The sequence below is a fragment of the Homo sapiens genome, chromosome 20, assembly GCF_000001405.40.
Source record: "Homo sapiens chromosome 20, GRCh38.p14 Primary Assembly".
NCBI lineage: Eukaryota > Metazoa > Chordata > Mammalia > Primates > Hominidae > Homo > Homo sapiens.
In genome coordinates, this window is record NC_000020.11 from 42,654,212 (window position 1) to 42,679,605 (window position 25,394).

The 25,394-nt window shown below is 41.2% G+C and overlaps 1 protein-coding gene across 11 annotated transcripts in view; it reads right to left on the reverse strand.

Annotated features, from left to right (window-relative positions):
* The window catches only part of PTPRT (protein tyrosine phosphatase receptor type T), a 1,158,017-nt gene that overhangs the window by 622,322 nt on the left and 510,301 nt on the right, over nucleotides 1-25,394 (reverse strand). For all 11 annotated transcript variants that reach the window (XM_047439848.1, NM_001394024.1, NM_007050.6 and 8 more), the window contains exon 7: nucleotides 23,655-23,948. In XM_047439848.1, the coding sequence (XP_047295804.1) occupies nucleotides 23,655-23,948 (294 nt within the window). The remainder of the gene's footprint in view (nucleotides 1-23,654; nucleotides 23,949-25,394) is intronic.

Genomic DNA, 25,394 nt, shown 5'->3' on the forward strand with positions numbered 1-25,394 from the left:
AACAGCAGCAAGGACATGAAGTTGGTAATTAGCACCCAGGAGGAGAAGGCTGGTAGAAAGGTCCAAGAATGATGCAAGAAGGCTCTCCCTAGCACAGTGCATTCAAGGATGAAGAAAACAAAAAACAAAAAACAAAAAACACTGTCCCAGACAGGCAGGCAGGCAGGCAACTTAGGGAGGACCTCTCAAAAAGCTGCAGTGGAACAAGGAAGTAGCAACTGGCCACAAATGAGAACATCCCACACCAGACATCCAGGGCCACTCTACCCCCAGAACCCACTCATTGAGGGCACGAAACTATTCAAGCGGATGGTTACTACAGAGAGGGGTAGGGACAAGCGAAAGAGTTATCTCTTTGCAGACTGCACTACGTCCAACACATCCAGACAATACCAGCTTTGCTGGATAACTATTTTTCCTGTGTACCTATCATGTTCTGGGCACCTTGAATGACTCTCTACATATCTGTTCATTAAAGCCTCACAGGAGCCCACTGAGATGGGTACAGTTATTCCAAATGTATAGATAAGGAATTAGCCCAGAGAAGTTTAGTAAGTTGCTCAGGTTCACACAGCTGGTAAGTAGTGAGATGAGAGTTTAAATCTGGAAGGTCATACTCTCCTTGGAATATCCTGTGGCTTCCCAAAGCCCACTAACATCAGGGCAAGAATATCACTACTACCCGCATTGAAGAGAAATTTATAGATTATATCTTATTGCATTAATGTTATATGCATTTAAATTCACTTTCCCATTTAGTCATCACGAGACCTTCTTCAGCAATGACAATTCAATGGATCCAATCATATCATGGTGTATTTGATCCTATCAGCAATGAGACATGTAATACCCCTTCCACCCTGAAAAGGTCCATTTCAATGGACCAAAAATGGAAAGGTATGGAAGTAGCAAAATTAAATCACATTTAAAAATACATCATCATCTACTGGAAAAGAAAAAATAGTAATAATCTGCCTTAGAAATTTGCCAGATCTCAGCTGGGTGCAGTGGCTCACGCCTGTAATCCCAGCACATTGGGAGGCCAAGGCAGGTGGATCACTTGAGTTCAGGAGTTGGAGACCAGCCTGGCCAAACATGGTGAAACCTTGTCTCTATTAAAAATACAAAAACTGGCCGGGCATGGTAGTGCACCCCTGTAATCTCAGCTACTTGGGAGGCTGAGGCAGGAGAATCACTTGAAACTGGGAGGCAGAGATTGCAGTGAGCCGAGATTGCACCACTGCACTCCAGCCTGGGTGACAGAGCAAGACTCCATCTTTTTAAGAAAAAAAGAAATTTACCAGATCTCATATTTATACCTTGGTTATGGGTGTAAAATAAAACATGAGACTTCAATGAATAGTGGCAGCAAAGACTCCTCAGGCCACATCTGTGAATGGGAGAGTAAAACTGGAGAAAAAAGAAACAGATCTAAAGGATAAGGAGGGAACATGCACAGTAGTATGGCTGATTGGGTGTAAAGGCTAAGGATGGTGAGGGGTGGATTCCAAATGACTCTCAGGTTTCTGATCTGGGCAAACAGTATGATGTTTACCAAATTGGAGTAGCTATTTACCAAATAGGAGTAGACCATTTTCAGCATCAACCTATAATGTTGAGGTAGGTAGAAAACAGGTAGGAAAAGTAGTCAGGCATAAGGACTTGAAGTTCAGAAGTGGGGATATATTCATGTCTTGTTGAAGTCATGGAACAGGTAAGACATCTAGGAAGAGTTTGTGTAATGAAGAGAGAATTGGGCAGAGGACACAGCCCTAAGAAATACCATCAAGTGCAGAAATCAGAGATGAGAAACAGTGGACATATGATCCTTGAAGCAAGTTCTCAATGCACATGAGCTGGATAGAGCTTTTATTTTAAAAATAAAGCTGACATGCAGCTCACAGGGAGGTAAAGGTGGAAAATCTCCCTATTGACCCTGGTAGATGGGATTGTTCTTAGGTATGGAGGCATGGCCTTTTCTTCCTTAAGAGGGAGAAAAGCTGAGGCAAGATAGGAAAGCCCTAAGGAAAATAGAGGGATGGATGTGGGAGAGAAAATGTCAGGTGCTAAAAATTCAGAGCCTGCCTAAGCCAAGCCTAAAGGAAAGATAAGAGCCTGCAAATATTTGACATGTGTTAACGCCAGTAAGGGAGAGAATGGATTCCGCTCCAAATAGGGGGTTGAGACTTACAAGTAGTGATAAGAAATAAAAGCCATTGATTATCAGCTCCAAACACCAAACCACTTGTTTGCAGAGTTATTGTCTCAGGAAAACAGAGAAGAATAAAGGCAGAATGTCAACTCATAATAGCTATAGATGGGCATGTCCAAATAAACAAAGCTGCTCATCCACTGTTGAAGGCAGGGTGAAAACTGACCCAATTTTTGAAGAACTGTCTCAAAGTCTTGAAAATGCTCACTGACCCAGCAAGGACGGTTCCAGGAATTTATTCCAGGAAAAAATATTACATATGTGCACATATATTAGTATCTTTCAGGATGCTGATTACAGCTTTTAAAAATTAGGAAAAACTTACATGTCTGGAAATCAAAGTTAGGATGAAATCAATTGTACATCTATATAACAGTATATTAAGACTGTAATCAAAACAATGCCTCCACTCTCTCACCCCCTTTTCACCTATCATATGACACTGGCTTTTGCCTGCTTATATTTTTAATATCTGTTAATGCCAAGTCACCCATCACTCCAACACTGACAAATCCAAGTGATATGGTTTGGCTGTGTCCCCACCCAAATATCATCTTGAATTGTAGTTCCCATAATCCCCATGTGTCGAGGGTGGGACCAGGTGGAGGTAATTGAATCATGGGAGTGGTTGCCCCCATCCTGTTCTTGTGATGGTGAGTGATTTCTCATGAGATCTGATGGTTTTATAAGGGTTTTCCCCCTTTGCTCCACACTTCTACTTCCTGCCACCATGTGAAAAAGGATGTATTTACTTCCTGTCCCACCATTATTGTAGGTTTCCTGAGGCCTCCTAAGCCCTGTGGAACAGGGAGTCAATTAAACCTCTTTCCTTTACAAATTGCCCACTGTCTGGTAGTTCTTTATAGTAGTGTGAGGACGGACTAATACACCAAGGGGACCCTTTGGAGCACCTCTTACTCAATCCTTCAGAGTTGGCTACTTTCTCCATCCTCAGTTTTGCTGTTGACCTGAGGGCATCACAACTTCCTTGTTTTCCTCCTGCTTTTAGTTGTTCGTTCATGGTCTTCTTTTCAGGCTCTTTCTTCACAACCCAACCTTATGGTGGTGGCATTCCCTGGGATTGGCCTCTCTTGTCTCTCCACATGCTTTATCTAGGTTGATGGCATTTATTAGTATGGCTTTGTGGGGGGGAAAAATCTGTGCTTCAATGAAAAACTGCATTGTTTATAGCTCATGCTTCCTTGTTATCAGATTCTGATTCTATGGGAGCTGTTTCCCAACTCTGGAAATTGTAGATAACTGATAATAATGCAGAATAATTCTTGTCCATAGATATGCAAATGGTTCCATGATCAGGAAGAGGGACAACCTTGCTCCCTCAAGGAAAAAAAGCTAGTTTTGCTTCCATTTGCATATTCCTGAAGTATACAGATCTCTTACCTTTGAATTTTCCTCTGTACTGGCTGTAACACCTCACCAGTTTCTTCATTAATGAATTAAATGCAATCATGTTCATTTTTACATCTCTGTGAGGTTTACCTTTTTTTTTTTTTTTACCTTTTCTTAAGAAAAGTACCTTGATTTTACCTTTTCTTGAAAATTATCTTTTAACAGTTTTAAGTTATATCTAGAGCCAAAGAACCCAAATGTATGTCTCTATCACTGACTTGTACATATATCTAACTGATTCTTCTTATTGGAAGTAATGTTCTCTAAAGTTGCACTGAATTACTGAATATTGAACCCATGGCTCCTAGGAGAAATACAAAGTTCAGTTCCTGTGAGCCTCTGCTCACAATGCTTTTGTCAAATGATTAATATAGAACCTTGTTTATGTACATAACCTTGTTCTGTGTGTTTCTGTTTAAAGACAGCTTACTTAACAGATTTTGTCAATTCATTAACATTGAACTGACAGCCAGCAGCCCTGTAACTCAGGCCTGAACAAAGCTCATTTAATATACCTATTTTCTCTGCAAAGCACATCACAGCCTTCTTGCGCTTAGGAACATCAGATGACACTTCAGCACTACACTTGGGGGCCACTTAAAGCAGCAAAATCACCAACAGCACAAAAATGTGAAAAACATAACACTAAATAAACCATGAAAAGCACACTCGTTTACAGTAGGGGAGCTGAAACAAGAAGGCAGAGTGCTACCTCTGACCCCAGCTAGTAATATGTGCACTGGGCAACCAAAAGTTTTCACTGTTCCGTGCAGGTCTGTGAATGACTGGGAGAGAACCAAGAGTACTGATGTTGGTGTTACAAATAAATTTTAGTGAGTAGATAAACTTGCAAATATGAAATCTGCAAATAATGAAAACTGTATTTCTGTATCTATATTAAATGTAATGTATGTCTCCCCCATTAGTATTCAGGATCCATAAAAACTAAGACCATATCTATTCAATTCTATTATATATTATTCAATTTAATATTTGCATTTATTGAAGTAAAAAGGTACTTGAGTACATAGAAAAATATTCATTATACATTGTTTTAAAGTGTGTTACTCAACAACATTTACATATTAGCTCAGTTTTGTCCAGGGAGATATATCTGTCTGTATTAAGAAAAGTAAACCCTAATGGAAAGAAATGTCTCAAAATTTTGTATAATCTCCATGTGGTGGGGTTCATGGTTTCTTTTTACATCCTTTTTTAGTGTTTTTCTGTATCTTCCAAAATAAAATAATGAAAACATATTTTTTTCATCATTGCTACGAAATGCCATTAAGACGTGAATACCTGCCTTAACTTTTCCACTATATACAGCAGAAGTTTGAACAGCTCCAGGCACCAGGAACTCTCTAACTCTCAAAAAAAACATCTGGGTCAGCACCTCCAGCCTGCTCATATGACAGCTTTAATAGCTCATCCCCATAGGGCCTGGTGCTCTCCTAGGTAATATCTTTCATCTATCTTTGGAATATGTGGCCAGAATTAAATGTCATGGTCTTGGGATATTTTGTGTGACATATTACAGGCATCCCACTGCACACTCAGTCTGAACCCTAAACTCCCATAATACAGAATACCGTTACCTTGATAGCCACACCTAATTAAGAATGTACACTCATCCACTCTTCAAACTACCAGATGCGCCAGCCAGACACAGAGGTCTGTCCTCAGGGAGTTAGAGTCTAATCTATTCAAGACAGTGGGATGGTCTTTCCCAGCCTGTGGGAGGTCTTTAGATGTCTAAGCTGCCATGGCTTTGGTCAAATGCTTTGGGGTGGGTGCGGGGAAAGTCAAATCCATGTACCAACTATAAAAGGTAATTAAGGGTTATGTTATTGACTTCTTCCTTCTAAGGGATATTCCTCTGGGCTCAATTTTATTGTGTTTAGTTCATATACAGTCCTATATAAAATAGTGTGGGTCAAGTTTAAATGGATTCGCTGCTTAACCTTCAAATAAAAAAAATTCAATTAATCAGAGCTCTTGCCTCCTCCATCCCATCGCCACCACCTTTCCCCCATGCTGTCTGGTTAATCCAAGATTCACAGCACATAGAAACCTTCTGTAGTGAACAGACGGCAGGAGTCAGGTGAGTCTGGGGTCAGGAGATGCTATTTCACAGCTATTACGAGATTTGAGATTTGGGGAAAATTACTTTACTCCTCAGAGCCTCAGTGTCCCTGTGTAAAATGACAGTGATCATCTGAATTAAGTCGCAGGGAAACTGTGAGGACCAATAGAAATTGTGCTTATAAAGGGCTCTAGGAAGATTGTACTGTAAAGGCTATGCAAGAGCAGGTGGTGCTGGCCACGTGGAAGGGGCTGGAGCTTTCCTCCCAAAATAAATTTCCCTAACAGGGTGTCTGCTCCACCATTATGTCTACAAGTTCAGAAGATTTGTAAATATGGCACCCACTCTGATAGGTTCTCTTACAGCTGTGAAGCTTCTTTGGGTCAGGCTCTAAGCTTCCATCCCTTCTCCCTCCCAAGAAACTCCCATACTCTCCCTCCCCAGTCCATCACTGTTTGGGGTATTGTAAGCTTATTCCAGCAACGGTGCTGGAATAATAGGTTAAATACTGAAAAACAAAGTTGAAACTTCCCTTTATACCAAAGACCAAAACAAACCCTCTATTAGTTAATGAGCTAAATATAAGACATGAAACCATTAAAAAAGCCAACTTGGTAACAGTTGTTATCACTGAGTGATGCTTTGTTGGATTCTTTTCATTGTTGTGTGTATATTTTTATGATTTTCCAACTTTTCTCCAGTGCACACATTTGTCTCCACAACATTCATTCATGCATGCAACACCTATTTATTGCATCCCTCCAGGTGCCATCCATGATTCCAGGCACTGGTGACCAGAACAGACAAGGTAACGATCCCTGGGGAGTATATAGTCTAATGGAAAGGGCAAGTAATAAACAAATACACACACAGATAAGTAGACAACTATGAATTAGGGTAAGTTTGGTAAACAGTGTTTTTTGTTTGTTTGTTTGTTTTTATTTTTTCTTGAGACAGAGTCTCACTTTGTCGTCCAGGCTGGAGGGCAGTGGCATGATGTCGGCTCACTGCAACCTCTGCCTCCTGGGTTTAAGTGATTCTCCTGCCTCAGCCTCCCAAGTAGCTGGGACTACAGACGCATGCCACCACGCCCGTCTAATTTTTGCATTTTAGTAGAGATCGGGTTTCACCATATTGGCCAGCCTGGTCTAGAACTCCTGACCTTGTGATCCACCTGCCCCAGACTCCCAAAGTGCTGGTATTACAGGTGTGAGCCACCGCACCCAGCCGTAAACAGTGTTTTAAATGGTTAAAATGGAGAGTGAGGAGGAGGAAGCTAGACCAACAAGGTCCTTTGCGAAGTGACTTTTAAAGGGACATGTAAAGGGCAATGATGAGTTAACTAGTTCACACAAAACTTTTCTGTAAAATATTTATTTTATGCTGTAGAGTGACCAATGAGACTAAAGGGCATATGGAGCATGATTACATGAGAATGAGGTCAGTGACTAAAAGGGAATAGACACAAGCAAAAAATATATATTTAATTGGAATATGAAATACATTTCCTATTTTCAAAAGGTTACTTTCAAATTTCAAAAATGTGCTACCTCTTTTTTTCAAGTATAAAGATGAAGAAGATAAAGAAGTAAAATGGCAGCCACCACCAGAGTAGTTATAGTGGCTGCATCCATTTTCCGCCCTAAGCCCAGGTGGGAAAAGGGTTGGCTGGAAAAGTTACAAGCTTCTAATGATTAAGAAGCCCCATCAAGGAAAATCTACATGGCCGTGGTGGATGGACAACCACTCTCTGGTGGATTCCCATTGACCTTCGAGACCCCCTAACTCCCACTCTCACCTCCTGCTACACCTCATCTCAAGAATCTCAGGATGACTTGTGGCTCAAGCCAATAGTGGGTGGGATTTAGAAACAACTGACACTCTGGTTTTCCTCTTTTCTGTCAGGCAGAGTCTTTTTCTCTGCACCAAGCCAGGTTTGGGCTCACTGCTCAGGATAACTCTCCCATTCTTCTCACTGCAGGGAGACCTCTGCGTTCCAGAATGGCCAGCAATGGACAGGGTGCCCTTGGCTTCCTCTGGCTCAGGCATCATTTTGGCTGAGGCTGCATACCAAGCTCTTGATAGAGTGAGCTTTGTGAACACAGCAAAGGGCTAGCCCCTCAGACTCATGGCAATGAGGATTTTTGGGGTTTAATGGTGAGGAAGGCCTAGGGCCTAGGTAATGAGAGAGAAACTGAAAAAAGATAGCATACTGTCCTCTTAATATGTTGTACCAGTTAACTCACCTGCAGAAATGCCTGTTAAGAGCCTACTTCGTTCCTTGCCAAAACTGGTTACTACCAGTTTGAAACATATAAGTAGGTAATATATTGATAATGAGAGAGAAAGTGAGCCCCTAGGTGTTAAAGTACCAAAGGCTCCAATTTACTAAGCACCTACTAAGTTCTAAGCATTGTACTTAGAGTTCTATGGTCAGCTGGGTCCAGAGCAGGACTCTAATCGGACTCAGTAGGCCCCAACCTCAGCTACTTCCTAAACTGTGTGACTTGGAGCAAAACACTAAATCTCTCTGGCCTTGGTAGTAATGGTCATGATAAAACCTACCTCATGGGGTTATAGGTTTGCAGGCAAAGTCAGTGGGGTAAGCCTTGCAGAGCATTATTAGCCATCATTAATATTAATGACCTGTATTTCTATCCAGTGAGGTAAGCAGCATTATACTAATTAACAGAGGGGGAAACTGATTCACAGAGGTCAAGCAATTGCCCAAGGCTGTCCAGCATCCTAAGGAGTGAATCTAGCATTAAAACTCTGATGGGACTGAAAGCAAACCCCCTATTTAACTGTCCCTTACTCTATTTGAACACTGAGCTTGAAGCTTGGTTTGCATCTCAGGGCTTAGCAAATTTGGGACTGTTTCTGTACTGTCCAAAAATGTCAATGATTCACTAACTAATAAAAATACCCTCATATAGAGTGTTTTACAATTTATAACAATCATTCACATTCACATTTGACTCCAATGGGTACAACAATTTCTAAATTATATAAATTTTTGTGACCCACAGTCTCAATACCTGAATATATGTGTGTGTGTGTGTGTGTGTATGTGTGTGTGTATTTATATATATACATGAATATATATACATAATATACAGACATATATATGGCATGTCTGTCTCTGTACCTATACCCAAGGGCAGATAGGTTAAAATACATATTTTAAGAAGGGTTGTTTCCATTCAAAGAAACACTTTGATCTCAGAATGAGCCGCCCTCCCCCAACCCCACTTAATGTTCAGTTCAGTGCAAAAGATGTACAAAGAGGGGCCTGGAAATAGAGTCTAGAGAAAGTTGAACTGCTCTAGGAACTTGAATGAGAAGACTTTGCTGCACCTGTGGGCAATTTGGGAGGGAGGAAACAGAAAGAGGTGAAAATTTCTTGCCTGTTGAAAGGACTTTTAAAGTCTGAGAAAGGATGAGTTCTATGCTGGGCAGGACGGCAATGCGACCCCTTGCCTGAGTCCCACCAAACACCAAGAGAAGTTTGCTGCTGCAGGAAACAGCCTTTGTTATGTGGCTTCGGCAGGGTGGTGTGGAAGGGCCCAGGTCCACATTTGGTTCAGTTAGGGGAGCCAGAAGAATTTGACTGATGTTCTAGAATCCAGGGCAGGCAGTGAACAGGGGCTCATGTGCTCTTTTTGAAATCTCCATGTGCAGAATTTGAAATGGGGAGTTCTGGTCAATACTTCATAGATTTCACTGGTAAACTGGCCCCAGCTGATATGCGGTCTGTGTATTTATATTTCACAAAACTGACACAGTAATTACTTACACTCGTGGTTTTGTAGGCTCTTTTTTTTAAAACTTCCTACAGCATGAACATTAACCCATGCCATTAGATACATATACCACAAAAACAGTTTGTAACAATACTAGCATAGAATTCCACTGTGTGTGTGCACCAAAATTTACTTAACTACTCTCCAATCGTTGGTGCATTTAAGTGATTTCCAAGTCTTTGTCCTTATAAATAATGCAGTGATGATCTCTGTCTGAAACTCTCTTTTGAGCAGCTCTGATTATTTTGCTAGAAAAAAAATTAGCAAATTGTCCTCTTAACATGCTGTACCAGTTAACTTACCTGCAGAAATGCCTGTAAGAACCTGCTTTGTTATTCCTTACCAATACTGCTTATTAACAATTTAAAAAATATATAGGTAGGTAATATGATAGATAAAATGCATTTATTTGATCATCTGTAACACTGGACATTTTTAATACGCTTTTTGCTATTCATATTTTGTTTAGCAATTACCTCTTTATGCCTTTAGCCTTTTTTTCTATCAATGTGATTACATTTTAAAGTTAGAGCTTTTTATGTGTAAAGATATTTTATCTCCCTTTTCTCAGTTTTGTCACATGTTTTCCCACACCAGTTTACTAACCTGCTTTTTGATTTTAGTTAACATGGCATAGAAGATTTTTCTTTTTCTTGTCTTTCTATGTAGTAAAATGTGTAAACCATGACCTCAATGGTGTATTTGCTTGCTTTTAATGAACTGAGAGTCTCTCCCAATAAAAGAATGATATTTTCTTTATTTTTTTCTAGTTTTGCCTTTTAAGTTTTTAAACTACCCATAATTTAATTAGCACATGGTAATATATGCAATAAATTCTATTTTTTACAAAGTATCTTACCATGTACAATTTATTAATCATGTACTATTTGATAAGCAATTTTCAATTCATATAAATTTTTTATTTTTGTAAAGCTGGGGTCCTGCTATGTTGCCCAGGCTGGTCTTGAACTCCTGGGCTCAAGTGATCCTTCTGCCCTGGCCTCCCAAAGTGTCATATAAATTTTAAAAGTCACCAGTGGAACAGAACAGAGCCCTCAGAAATAATGCCACATATCTACAACTATCTGATCTTTGACAAACCTGACAAAAACAAGAAATGGGGAAATGACTCCCTATTTAATAAATGGTTTTGGGAAAACCGGGTAGCCATATGTAGAAAGCTGAAACTGGATCCCCTCCTTACACGCCTTACACAAAAATTAATTCAAGATGGATTAAAGACTTAAATGTTAGATCTAAAACCACAAAAACCCTAGAAGAAAACCTAGGCAATACCATTCAGGACATAGGCATGGGCAAGGACTTCATGTCTAAAACACCAAAAGCAATGGCAACAAAAGCCAAAATTGACAAATGGGATCTAATTAAACTAAAGAGCTTCTGCACAGCAAAAGAAACTACCATCAGAGTGAACAGGCAACCTACAGAATGGGAGAAAATTTTTGCAATCTACTCATCTGACAAAGGGCTAATATCCAGAATCTACAATGAACTCAAACAAATTTACAAGAAAAAAACAACCCCATCAAAAGTGGGCAAAGGATATGAACAGACACTTCTCAAAAGAAGACATTTATGCAGCCAAAAGATGTGAAAAAATGCTCATCATCACTGGCCATCAGAGAAATGCAAATCAAAACCACAATGAGATACCATCTCACACCAGTTAGAATGGCAATCATTAAAAAGTCAGGAAACAACAGGTGCTGGAGAGGATGTGGAGAAATAGGAACACTTTTACACTGTTGGTGGGACTGTAAACTAGTTCAACCATTGTGGAAGACAGTGTGGCGATTCCTCAGGGATCTAGAACTGGAAATACCATTTGACCCAGCCATCCAATTACTGGGTATATACCCAAAGGATTATAAAACATGCTGCTATAAAGACACATGCACATGTATGTTTATTGCGGCACTAATCACAATAGCACAGACTTGGAACCAACCCAAATGTCCAACAGTGATAGACTGGATTAAGAAAATGTGGCACATATACACCATGGAATACTATGCAGCCATAAAAAATGATGAGTTCCTGTCCTTTGTAGGGACATGGATGAAGCTGAAAATCATCATTCTCAGCAAACTCTCGCAAGGACAAAAAACCAAACACCACATGTTCTCACTCATAGGTGGGAATTGAACAATGAGAACACATGGACACAGGAGGGGGAACATCACACACCAGGGCCTGTTGTGGGGTGGGGGGAGGGGGAGGGATAGCATTAGGAGATATACCTAATGTTAAATGACGAGTTAATGGGTGCAGCACACCAACATGGCACATGTATACATATGTAACAAACCTGCACGTTGTGCACATGTACCGTAAAACTTAAAGTATAATAAAAAAATAAAAATAAAAAATAAAGGCTGAAAGAAAGAAGAAAATAAAATAAAATTAGTTATGTAACATCTCATCATAAGTTGTTTATAAGACCAATCACACAGGACCTGTTATGAAAATTCCATACTTGTAAAGTGCTACCCAGAGCCTGACACGTGGTTGGCACTCTATATGTATGAGTTTCTTTTAAATTTATTTGGGATATTTGAATGCCTATTTATTTTTGTGAAAGGGTTTATGTTTCAAAAATTAAAAAAATATACTTTCATTCATGCATCAAAAAAAAATTTTAAAGTCAGTTTTGCTATGTACTGTATTCATTTCTGGGCTTTAATTATTATAGTTTTTACAAATGTTGACATTTCACAGAGAAACCCTCCAATCACTTTTTCTAAGTGCTCTTGACTTCTTTCTCCTGTATTTTCTTTCAGATCAACTTTTAAATCACTTTAAGTTTCAAAATGAATCCCATTAAGATTTTGATTAGAACTGTATTAAACCCATCAATTAATTTGGGAAGGATTGCTATCCTCACAATATTAAATTTGCTAATCCAACAACATGACATATGGCCATTTGTTCAGGTCTTGTTTTCTCATCCTCAATAAAACTTTGTAGGTGTTTGTATTTTCATATACATGCTGCACAATTCTTAGCTTACACTTAAGTGTTTATACTGTAATTACATTTAAGAATAGGATACATTTTATTATAGTTTTATAATGGTTATTACTGGCATATGGCTATTTATTTTTGTTTATTTGCTTTGTGTCTGACCATAGCATTGAAATCTTTTAGTAGTTCCAATAGCTTGTTTTTTCAGTTAAGTTTATTCTCTTAGGCATTGAGGCTATAAGAACGTTTTCTTCTGGAAATAAGAAGGTGCCTTTCCATTTCTAGCTTACTAAGAATTCTGATCAGTAATGAAGGCTGAATCTTTTCAAATTACTTTTTAGCCTCTCTTGAGAGGCTCAGATGATTTTTATTTTTTGGCCTACTAATATGAGGCATTACATCCATAGTTTTTCTAATATTCAACATTTTTCATCAGTGTATTCCTGGAAAACACCCAACTGGGCCATGGTGCATTATGCATTGATAATGATTCTGGATTTCAGGAGCTAGAGCTTTGCAGCTGTGCAGTTAAGGGTTCCATTTTCATCCGGGCCATTTGAGCAAGTGTGTGGCCTTGGGCAAGTCACCTACCTCCTAGACAGTGAGTGGAGGAATTATACCTCCCTCACAAGCTTGCTGCAAGAATTACAAGTAAAATATTCAAAACAAGCTCAACACTATAAGCCTTGCATACAGTAGATACCCCTCAAATTGGCAGCCACTGTTTTCATCACTATAATCATACACTTTCTTTACATTGTCATCTCAAGTGTGACAGAGCTGTAAGAGTGATTGAACTCTAATTTTAATATATTTGGGATGCTATTTTTTAAAAATCCAGAGAGCTTGATAAACACTGTTAGCTTTTACTATCTTTAATGCTTCTCTGTGACTCACTTTTTCTTCAAATTTCAACCCTGAAATTTAGAAGAAGTTGAGGGATTACTTGTTGACTTACTATTGTAACTGAATAAAGATTTAGTTGCTTGCTGCTTGCGGAGTTCAATTAACAAGAGCAAGATCTGGTAGAAAGAAAAGTGACTTTATTCCAGAGCTAGCTGAAGGGCAGTAGTGCAGTCTCCTTCCTCAGGGTGCCACTTTGCTTCCAGGCAGAAAGCAGAGGCTTTTAAAGGAAGGCTTGGAGTGAAGGGCACGCAGGGGAGAGGGCGAGGAAGTGCAGGGTCTATGTGACTTTTCAGATTTCTTATCTATCCGGAGGTCTCACTAGTGCCATCATGGGCAGAGTGAGGTTGTAAATGGTGGCAATCTCCTATTGGGATAGAATTCTGGATGTGCCTGGTTTGCTTCAAGTTTCAGTCTCTGGAACTTCTAAGTAACACATAGTTAGACAGACTTGCTGTGTTGGAAGTGTCTGGTGGAGAGAAGGTAAAGATTATACTTTCATTCCTAAACAGCTAAGTAGGTGGTGGGGGGAAAGAAAAAAAGTTAAACAATTGATTTTTTCCCTTTTAAAAACGAGGTGCTAAGTTACACTATTGCACTTCATCTTCTAGGAGGCCCTGGCTCCCTAAGGAGCATGGAGTGGCAGAAAAATCTAAAAGTGCAACTGGATGTCTAATAGGGCTTTTCCTGTTGCTTTGGAATTTTATCTAAGACTACAAAACCAATAAGCATACAAAATAAACACTGCCACCTTCTACAGAGAAGACCTGAGGGACTTCCAGCTATTTCTTCCAGAGAACACTAAGAGGTTCCCAAGCGGACTCTCACTCTTCCCTCCCAGCACTACAGTCAGCTCATACAATAATGAGACTTCATGGGTTAGGGGAAGTGAGTCTCTGGGATTATGAATTATAGGTTTAAAGAGAGAGAGCTTTATGTTTTGCCTCTTTCTTAAGCCAAGGGAGAGGGACTCCAATGGTGCCAACAGTAGACATCGTGCGACAGTGGGAGGGGAGAGAGGGTCTGCAAGAAGAGGAGATGAACATCTTATGCCCTCACAGGTGCTTGTCCGTCTGCGGATAATTCTTTTTTTTTTTTTAAGGCGGAGTCTCGCTCTGTCGTCCAGGCTGGAGTACAGTGGCACAATCTCGGCTCACTGCAAGCTCCGCCTCCTGGGTTCACGCCATTCTCCTGCCTCAGCCTCCCGAGTAGCTGGGACTACAGGCGCCCGCCACCACGCCCAGCTAATTTTTTTTTTTTTTTTTTTTTTTTTGTATTTTTAGTAGAGATGGGGTTTCACTGTGTTGGCCAGGATGGTCTCGATCTCCTGACCTCATGATCCGCCCGCCTCGGCCTCCCAAAGTGCTGGGATTACAGGCGTGAGTCACCACGCCGTGCCCAGATAATTCTTATGGCGTCTCAATCAGAGGCTCCATAACCGAGTATGATCAGAGCAGGTTTTCTCCCTTCTTTAGCTTTCATCTCTCTTCCGTGGTCCTACAACCCAGAGGAAGCAGAGAGTGCAGCAGCAGCAAAACAAGTTCGGTAGGTGATGCAAGAACTGCCAGAACCCTTTCTCCACATCTTTTTGAGGAAGTGCTGGTCATAATCCATCTTCTGTGACTGCCTTCAATCTAGGTTCACCTGCACTGCACAAGCAACTATGTCCCTTCGAGCATGGTGTGGCATGCATGAAAGTCCCCTCCTTCCCTAGATCCTCATGGTCTTGAAAATTTCTCCATTGGTCTTTAGAATCCATTAACTCTATGGCTTTGATTCTGGGTGGGATAGTGAGTCCATTTTCATTTCTACTGGCTACTGTTTCCATGTTCCCCGAAGATTTATGGATCATCTCACCAGAATTACAGTACAGCAGAGATGGAGGTTAGATGTCTGTGTTCATACTACCCTCCTGCCCAGAAGGATGTCCCATTTTACTTCTAATTCAGAACCCTAAGAGTTAGGCCAAGTTATGTTCCTCCCATTTTATAGATGGTGCCGCCAAGGCATAGAGAAATGAAGAAGAAAAACTCACGAGACTAGTTAAGTGATGCTGTTCTATTTTCTAGACCTTCAATTACCTCTTTTTATAATTCTCTGCCTCTACTCTGTCCTAGAACTGCATGTTGCCCTGAAAGACCCTTGCCTGTGGGACCCACAGGCTTTTCAGAGAACACAGAGACCACCTGAGGCTGCTTATTGCAGAGAGTCTGGATTCACTTCCAATCCCTTTTTGCTCTGGGCTTGAAAGGCCTCATTCTTACAAGCCTTGGCCTCCTCAAAGAGAGAAGCATCTGCGTAACATGGTTCTCCCTCTTACCTGAGACTAGAGACAATTATAAAAAGGACAATTCCCATCCCCCTTACCCCGTGCCCTATATCATGAAATACCCTCACAGCTACACGTCGAGGACTCCACAACATGCACACAGCCACATGTCTTACCTTCTCAGCAGTGATCAGAGCTTGTTGCTAAACCACCACTGTCTAAGAAAGTACACAGAGTAGCAGCTAGAGAAATCCTTCTTAAAACAGGGTCCATCATGCTACAGTGAAGGAAATCAGGTTCTGACATCCTTTCCCCAGGCCTAAGATTTATTTCTAAATAATGTTTATTAAAGGGCCCCTAAGTTCCCGGTTCTCTGCAAGGCATATAACTTATCTCACTGAAGCTTTCCAACAAAATGGTGCATTATAATATCCCTTAGATGGAAGAAAATAAATTGAGTCACAGAGAGATGGTGTAACACATCCCGGTCACCCAGCCAGCAAGTGCCCAGCTTGAAATAAAAACCAGATTATTTTTGGCTCTAAAGCCTCTATCCTTTTCATTCAATTCTAATGACTACTCTCACTTCATTGAGCCCAGCAATTTGAATTTATCTTTTTTATCCCCCTGGAGAAAAGAGAGAGGTAGACACATATCACTGCAAGTAGAAATCCATAAATATGTAAATAAAATAGAACATGCAATCAACCCTCAGGTGGAGGGAATAGGAAGAGAGCCCTCCAAATCAACAGCGTATGTGGTGTCTCTGGCTGTACAAAGCCACTTTTCACTTGGAGAGCTGGGACTCCGCAAGACTACAATGAAGTGGGTTCCCAGGCAAGGGGCCTTTGATTGACACGCAAGGGGGACGGGCTAAGATTACGTGACTTGCTGGATTGTTGATTTGTGATTCTGTAACTATAATCGGAGTGGCCTGGGGTCTGCGTCAAGCGAAGTTTGGGGGGATAAAAGAAAGCAATGTCTGGGGATTAAGTGAGACAACTGAGTGGCTGAAGACCTGTTTTTGAGATGAGGAGGAAAACCTGGGAGCAAAACTTACAAGTGGGTGTTTCAAGGAGGCCTATTTGAGGGTAACAATGAGGAAGAGCTTCTTCTATCTAATGCTAGATGATAGTCTTAAGACACCAACAAGCTGGTACCCAAGCCATTGAAAGTGGTACCTGCAGGAGAGGTACAGGGCCAAGTTGGACCCATGTGGTGTCCCTATCTCTTGTCACCTCACCTGCTTTCTCCAGTTACTGACCTCGGCATCCACTGCCCTTGGTTCTCACTGTGGACTCCCAATAGTTAATGCTAGCAGCCTGCCTACTGCCCCCACTCTTTTAAACCTAATGGACACTCTGTGTATAATCCATCCAGAGCTGTACGATAACCAAGCTAACACTGGATAGAGGATAATAGTCACCACCCGAGATCTCCAGCAGTGAAATGGTCTGCCATGGAAGAGTGTAAACTTCCCATCAGAGGCAGCATTCAAGGTGAGGCTGGGTGGGCAACACACAGCAATTCTAAGACCCAACTCCTATCACAGAAAGTCTGCTGTTGGGGATGTGCTGGAGGAAACCACACAATGCTCTAGACAAGAGAGTCTCTGAGATCCCAGACCACAGCATGAACTCTGAAATGGGATTTTCCAGGAGATGATGAACAACAAAAGAATATGGGTCCACCTTCAAGATGCCAATTAGTTCTGAGAAGTGGACAAGGAAGACTTCCTGTTTTGATATAATTATTCATAATCATAGCATCCATAACAATAGCAGCAACCAATAACACTTTGGTTCACTATAGGCAGCTAAAGAACATTTTGAGTTTGATATACATGATCGCATTTGCTCTCATACCTATATCTCATGAAAGATGGTGAATGATTAAACTAAGGAAAAGAAACAAAATGATAAATAAAAATATAAGAAATGGATTATCTCAACAGAACAGCATGAAGACACAGACTTAAATTGCTTTCATCAGTACTAAGAAGTCCCTTTGATCCTAAAGTCCAAGTGAAATCAGGTAGTCCGCATGGAAGAGGCAGTTATCTGCTGATCTCTCCTGAGCTCCAGATTTATATATTCCCATCACCTGCTATACATCTTCACCTCCAACACAACATATTCAGACCTGAGCTCATTTCCTTTTGTGTTTTTCGGCTCAGAAAATTGTTTCACCACTGTGATGGTTAATAATGAGTGTCAACTTGATTGGATTGAAGGATGCAAAGCATTGTTCCTGGGTATGTCTGTGAGGGTGTTGCCAAAGAAGATTAACATTTGAGTCAGTGGACTGGGAAAGGCAGACCCACCCTCAATCTGGGTGAACACAATCTAATCAGCTGCCAGCATGGCCAGAATAAAAGCAGGCAGAACATGTAAAGACTAGACTGGCTTAGTCTACTGGCCTACATCTTTCTCCCATATTGGATGCTTCCTGTCCTTGTACATCAGACTCCAAGTTCTTCAGCTTTGGGACTCGGACTGGCTTCCTTTCTCCACAGTTTGTAGACAGCCTAGACCTCACCTTGTGATCGTGTGAGTCAATACTCCTTAATAAACTTTCCTTTATAGATACATCTGTCCTATTAGTTCTGTCCCTATAAAGAACCCTGACTAATACAACCACTCATCTCTCAGCCATCTAAACTGAAGCATGGGAGTATCACCTTTGACTCCCTACTCCCAACCCCACATCCCTCGATTCCTATCTGATCATCTGTACAGTTTCTGGTTTAACTGGCTGGGAGTCTTGCTCTGAACTCCAGCCTACTGGGCTGGGATGCTGCGCTACAGGCAAACACTTGACAATCTCCCCCTTAAGGGTTAAGGAGGAGGTATCCTTTGGGTTAAGGGAAGGATAGCCTTCCCTTAGTACCCCAGAATTTTCTTAATCAGTGACCTCTCAAAACTGGCAGAGCCAGAATGCATCCCCACCTGCCTTAGCTGAATTGCCTCTCTAGCATCTTCTTGTGCTACGCCCAAGCTTGTAGCCTACTGCTGCCAAGTCTCTGCCTGCTACTAGCATGTCCTTACTAAGCCAACCTCTGCCACCAGTGCCTAGCACAGAATTTGGCACAAAGAAAAGACTAAGTAAATGTTTGATAGAAAGGAGTGAAACTTTTGTGTAGTAGTTATTCATTCTCAGCTGATCTCCATAGTCACCAACCTCCTTACTACCCAATGCCACTCTCAAGAGGACACTTGTGGGCAGAGGAGGTCCCCAGGGCTGAAGACTCCATCAAGTCCTGTGGTGAAGAGTTTCTCTGGCCAAGAGACCTAGCATTTAACCGATTGGTGACCTTCATCCAACTATTCTGAGTCTCAGTTTTCCTCCCATCTACATCTCAGAGCTGCTGCAAAGACCAAGCTATGGAATGAACATCCTTCCAAAGAGCCATGTTGGCTTGTCACTATACATAAGTTAGTGTAAAACTTGGGTATGAAATGACATCACTCAGTGGAATCCTTACAGCAAATTTCTAGGCTCAACCCCAGAATTTCTGATTTATTACGTCGGGGGACAGGTCTGAGAATGTGCATTTCTAACAAGTTCCCAGGGGAATATTTGTCTTAATCCATCTAGGTTGCAGTAACAGAATACCATAGACTGGGTAACTTATAAACAACAGAAATTTACTTTTTATAGTTCTGAGGGCTGGAAAGTCCAATATCAAGGTGCCAGCAGATTAAGTGTCTAGTGAGGGCCCATTTCCTGGGTCCTCACATGGCAGAAGACATGAAGGAGCATTTTGGGGCCTCTTTTGTAAGGGCATTGATCTCATTCATCAGTATTCTGCCCTGATGACATAATTAGTACCCAAATGCCCCACCTCCTAATATCATCATTTCGAGGGTTAGAATTTCAACATATGAATTTTAAAGGAACACAAGTATTCAGTCTATAGCAATACTGATGCTGCTGGTCGAGGGACCACACTTTGAGAACCACCGCCCAAGATGATTCTAAGACCATTTCTCTTTCCATGCTGACGCTGTTTTTCCTCCATGAAGCATGCTATTTCAATGCTTGCCTTTATGTTTTACCTTTTTTTGCTGTTTTGTTGGAATCCTAACCCAGCCTGTAAATTCCTCTGGGCAGAAATTATACCTTCCACTCTACATACTCTCTCACTTTCTGTTTTGTAAAATAATGAGTACATTTCCAGCGTGATTAATAATAGAATAGGAAAAGGAGGAAAATCTCAGACTACCAACACCAATAAACACCACCTACAAATAGATACCAGCCCTGGAATTCTCTTAAAAATTAATTACGAGGCAAAAAACATTCCACCATCAGTGGCGATGCAGGAAGGAAGATTATCTTCTTGATGACACATTTTGTAAAATGTGAATTATTCAAGATTTTAGCTGTAACTTAAACACCAACGTTTTTTAAAAATAAAATACCACAATTGCATTCCAACTCATAATTTTTATATTGATAGCCAGATTATTGTGTTTTCAACATGTAAAATCCATTACACAGTCATGGCAACAGTTTGCAATAGACTGTAAATCTTTATTGAGATGATCATCTTGCGATTGAATTTCAAAATGTATTATATGATCATCAGCAAATAAGTCCACGGGGGCTGCTAAAGTACTTTGAATATCATTTATAAAGATCAAAAACCCTGGAAACTCTTACATTTACCCTGTGGAAAGAGAGAAGTCTCATCAGCAGGATCAAATCAATTATTTTTATGGATGAATATTGCATTGCAAAGCTGAGATAAGGTATTACCCAGTTTAGTAACATATCATTATGTCCTTTTAAAGTAGTAAGTTTCATAATCAGGTTTCAATGAGGAATTTTACCAAAGGCCTGTTTTGAAAATAATCAAGAAAATGGCATCTCTGTTCAGCATAGTGGTTCAATAACCTTACAAGGAATATTTCCAAGCAACAAAAATACCTGGGTTACATACTACCACGATACACCACTGAGATACTTAAGAATGGTTACAGCTAATTCCACTACAACTCTTGCTTTGAAAACGCAAATTTGTTCCAACCCAATTAATATATGAAAGGGCAATTTGAGCACAACACGAATTCTGCATTTGCTTATGTGTGATTTTGTATGTGAGAAACATTAGTGAAGGAGAAACCTGCACCCAGCAGAACTGAGCCACCTACGAATACATGCAACACACACAGTTCCAACCCCTACCTGGCCCGTCAGCTCACTGCCTGTGTTCTGAGCCACACCTTTTTCCCCAATTTCAGACAGCTTTCCTTCCACCACTTCACAGTCACTCACAGGCTGCAAGTCACTCACAGGCTGCAACTTCCCTGATGCCCACTTCCACAGCAAACTTCAGGTCTTTTTCAAGGTAACATACCATCTGTGTTGAGCATCCCTTATCCAAAATGCTTGGGACCAGAAGCGTTTCAGATTTCAGATTTTCTTGAATTTCAGAATATTTGCCTATACCTAATACGATATCTTGGGGATGGGACCCAAGTCCAAACACAAAATTCATTTATGTTTTATATATATCGTAGGCAATCTTACATAATATTTTAAATAATGTTGTGCATGAACCAAGTTTTTGTATGTCGAACCATCAGAAAGCAGAGGTGTAATTATCTTAGCCACTTACGTGGACAACTCTGTGCTTGTCTGTCATCACCATAATTCCTGACTCCAAATGTATATGCTATCGATAAGCAATCATCTTCTTAAGCTTATTCACACATAAGTGCTTAACAGTAAAAAAGAATAAATGATATGTCATTAATACTGTGAAATATTAATGTGTTCAGGTTAACTGAGCAGCACAGTAGACTCAGCAGATACCTGGATCAGCTGGTGAATGTCAGCAACAAACATCCTGGCTTTCAGTCCTCTCCCTGTGATGTTGTGCTTTGATGAAGGGTTCCTATACACCACATTTTATTTTCTTAGGTGAGAACAAACATCAGAAGCAGTTGAGGAACCAGGAAGTGGATCCTCTAGGGATAAAGAGGCATTCTGCTGGATGGCTTTTAAAAATGTTTCCTCCAGAGTCATCTGCCTCATTAACAATGATTTTTGTCTTAGACGTCTCTGATTTTATAAATTGACCTGGTTTCCTGTTCTGCTATGAATGCATACTGCTCCAGTCCTTCCATAAGCTCATCACCAATGCTTGCCATGTCATCTACAGGCACTTTTTCTGCAGTGTTAACAATGTCATCTTCATTGGTGGTATCGTGTTGGCACTCAGTAAGTTTCAGATTCTGGAGCATTTTGGATTTCCGAGGTTCAGGTTAGGAATATTCCACCTGGATGGATGCATTTCTTAGCCATTTCACGTGCATAAAATTGTGCCACCAGTTTTACTAGATTCCCCTCTTTTTTGATGTGTCACTAAGGAAGTATGAATATGGCCCCTAGCCCCATTTTTTCCATAATCCCTGTGGTTTTCATTTCGTAACTTGACATAGTGTGGTGATTTTTAGGCACCTATATGTCAAGTCATGGCAGAGCTGTATGCACTTTCCCTTGCTGTTTGTTCCATGGTTCCTGTACTGATGGGTCCTTCCCCTCCACCCAGATGCCCTCAGTGACTCCTCTTTGTTTTCTGAAACCCATGCTGCCTGCTCCCCTGAGCCACACCCGCCTCCACTAGAACATCCCCAGCTGTATATACAATGCTCTCTCTCTCTCTCTCTCTCTCTCTTTTATTCATCATGATGTGGCCAAAAGTCAAAAGCTGAGAGTCAGAAAATCTAAGTGTAATTCCTGACCGTACCACTGGCCATTCTATGACTTTGGACAAAAAGTTTAAAAGTATTGAGTCTCTATTCCTTTGTGCATATATAAAATGTAAGTACTTACAGCAAAAGTTTACTTGGTGTGAAAAAAAGATATAACATAAATAAGGTAATTTGCAACAAATAAAGAGCAAGTTAGTTTAATTTCTTGAGTTGCATCCAGAGCCAGATCATCTCAGAGGTACAGTGAGACACATGTTGTTAGCCAATAGCCCCTGATTAGAAATGCAGTAGAAGCCAGGAGGCCTGGGACACAGTTGGATCCAGAGAATCTCTCCCCTCTTAGACACAATCTCAGCCAGCAAACTCTTACATGGCATCCAGGAATATCAGAGAGACAGGTGTAGTCAGTAACCCATAGAGATAGAGTGGAATCCAGAGGACCTTCAGAGGAATAGTCCCAACCCAGACTCTTAGGTAGGGATAGGAGCCTCCAGGGGATACAGAGGCAGGAAGCTCTTAGGGACTAAGGTAGTTCCAGAAACAATTCAGAGATACTGTCAGAGCCAGGAGGCATTTAAGACATGGTTGGCAACAGAAGCCCCTCGGAGACAATTCTAGAACCAGGAGCCATCAAGAAAATTTTCAAAACCAAGGGTCACAGGCCCAGCTCAGGGAGCCTCAGGAACAATGTTAGAATTAGAAACTCATTAAAGATACAACCAAAACCAGAAGCCCCCAAGGACATAGTCTAAATGAAGCGTTCACGGGGCACAGTGAGAGCCAGGAGCCCTCAGAGACACAACCAGAGCCAGGAGCCCTCAGAGAAACAGAGCCAGGAACCCTCAGAGAAACACGGCCAGGGCCCCCAGAGACAAAACCAAGAGCCCTCGGAGAAATTATTAGCATTAGAAAGCCTCAGACATACAAATGGCACCAGGAGTTCTGGAAGACACAGAGCCAGTGTGTCTCATCAGAAACACTATTAGATCCAGGAACCTCCCGTGACCCAGCTAAAGTCAGGAAGTTCTTAGAATCACAGTCAGAGCTAGAAAGCCCCTAGAAATGCAACCACAGCAAGAAGGTCCTCTAAAAAACAAACAAACAAAAAAAACCCCAAGGCCTTGATCCTGTTTATCCACAATAGGAAGCACATTCACATTCAAAGAAAATTCGGAATTATCTGTCACAGGAAGGCAAGAGGAAAGCCAGTCTTGGCAATAGCACAGCCTCTCATAATGGAGCCTGGGAAAAAAAAAAATCTTACCTGCACACTTGGTCCTGGTGGTGAGGGGAGGCCCTGGCGGTCCCGTACCCCCCTCACCTGGTCGTGTGAGGAGCACTCGGATCTCATACTCAACATCGGGGTCCAGATGCCACAGCTTATAGTTGGGAGAGTCGACTATGTGGGTCTCTGCCCACGTGCCTGTGGTGGTGCGATATTCCACTTCCTTCAGGATGATGGGGCCATCCCCGATGATGGAGTTGGCATTTGGCTTGATCCACAGGTATGTGGCCCCCACAGCCAGCAGCTCTGGGGGAGCAATGGGCGTGGGAGGCTCTGTAAGACAAGCAATCAAAAAGGACTGTCAGATTCAAATGATTTACAGAGCAGACTACAAGCACATGACGACAAGGGACAGAATTCTTGATGTAGCCACAAAAAAAATAGTCAGAAACCCCTTTTTGTTTTATTTTATTATTTTTATTTTATATTTTTGAGATGGAGTCTTGCTCTGTCATTCAGGCTGGAGTGCAGTGGGGCCATTTCGGCTCACTGCAACCTCTGCCTCCCTGGTTCAAGCAATTCTCATGCCTCAGCCTCCCAAGTAGCTGGGATTACAGGCACCTGCCACCACGGCTGGTTAATTTTTGTATTTGTAGTGCAGATGGGGTTTCACCATGTTGGCCAGGCTGGTCTTGAACTCCAGACCACCTGAGGTGATCCGCTGGCCTCAGCCTCCCAAAGTGCTGGGATTACAGGCATGAGCCAACACGCCTGGCCTGAAAACCCTTTTAAATCCCATTCATGCCCTACTTTAAGGGTTTGCATGTAAGTACCTGAATCAGTATTTCTTCAATAGCTATATTCAATGCCTACCTTATCTCCTTCATTTAAAGAAATGAAAGAAAGAAGGCCATGTGAGGAAATGGTTTTCCCAGAACACAGCAAAGCTGCTGGGTGAATACTCTGTTTTCTAGCCTCAAAGGAAAACCTGCTTTTGCTGAAGTAAAGTTTGGCACAAAACCAGGGGAGCCTGAGGTCTATAAACATTTCTTACATAGAACACACAGATTGTTAGTGAAGTTCTTTCCAAAAAGTGATATGAGCCTAAGTAGAAAAAGAATGATGGCACAGCAAGAATTCAGCTTCTGCCTCAACCCCAGCAGGTTTCTTCCAGCAGAGAAAGTCATGGGTCACAGCAGACCCAGCAGGAATGAGGGGTTAAAGGAAAAGTTGTGCTGAGTTATCGTGCATCTACTCTGTGCTGCCACCTCTCTTCCACTGAGTTCCACGCAGTCAGCTAAGTAGACCAGAGGTTCAGCAGGCTTGGATTGTAGCCTCTTCCTTGCAATTATTAGCCCATGGCAAAGCTACAAAAATTAACACTTACCTTGTACTTCTTATGTACTTTAAAATCTCACACGTATCATTCATGTAATTCTTGGGACAGCATTATCACCTTAACTTTAATGGGGAAAAAAAAAAAAACTGACAACCTAAGAAATCAGGTCACCTAACCAAGGTCATGGAGAAGGTAGTGTAGGATAAAACTTATATCCGCATGCCTTCCTGGACCAACTTGCACCAAGGAAAGCTGTCTGCCTCTTAATACTCATCTTTAAAAAAATCAAACTGAATATATTTGTTATTTTTATTTGCAGTAAAAATGGCAGAACAATAAAGAAAATGGAAGAAAGAGAAAATATGAGAAGAAATGGAAGAAAATGGAGAAAAATGGAAGAAAGAGAAAATATCTCTAACATCCAACATAGCCATTTTTAT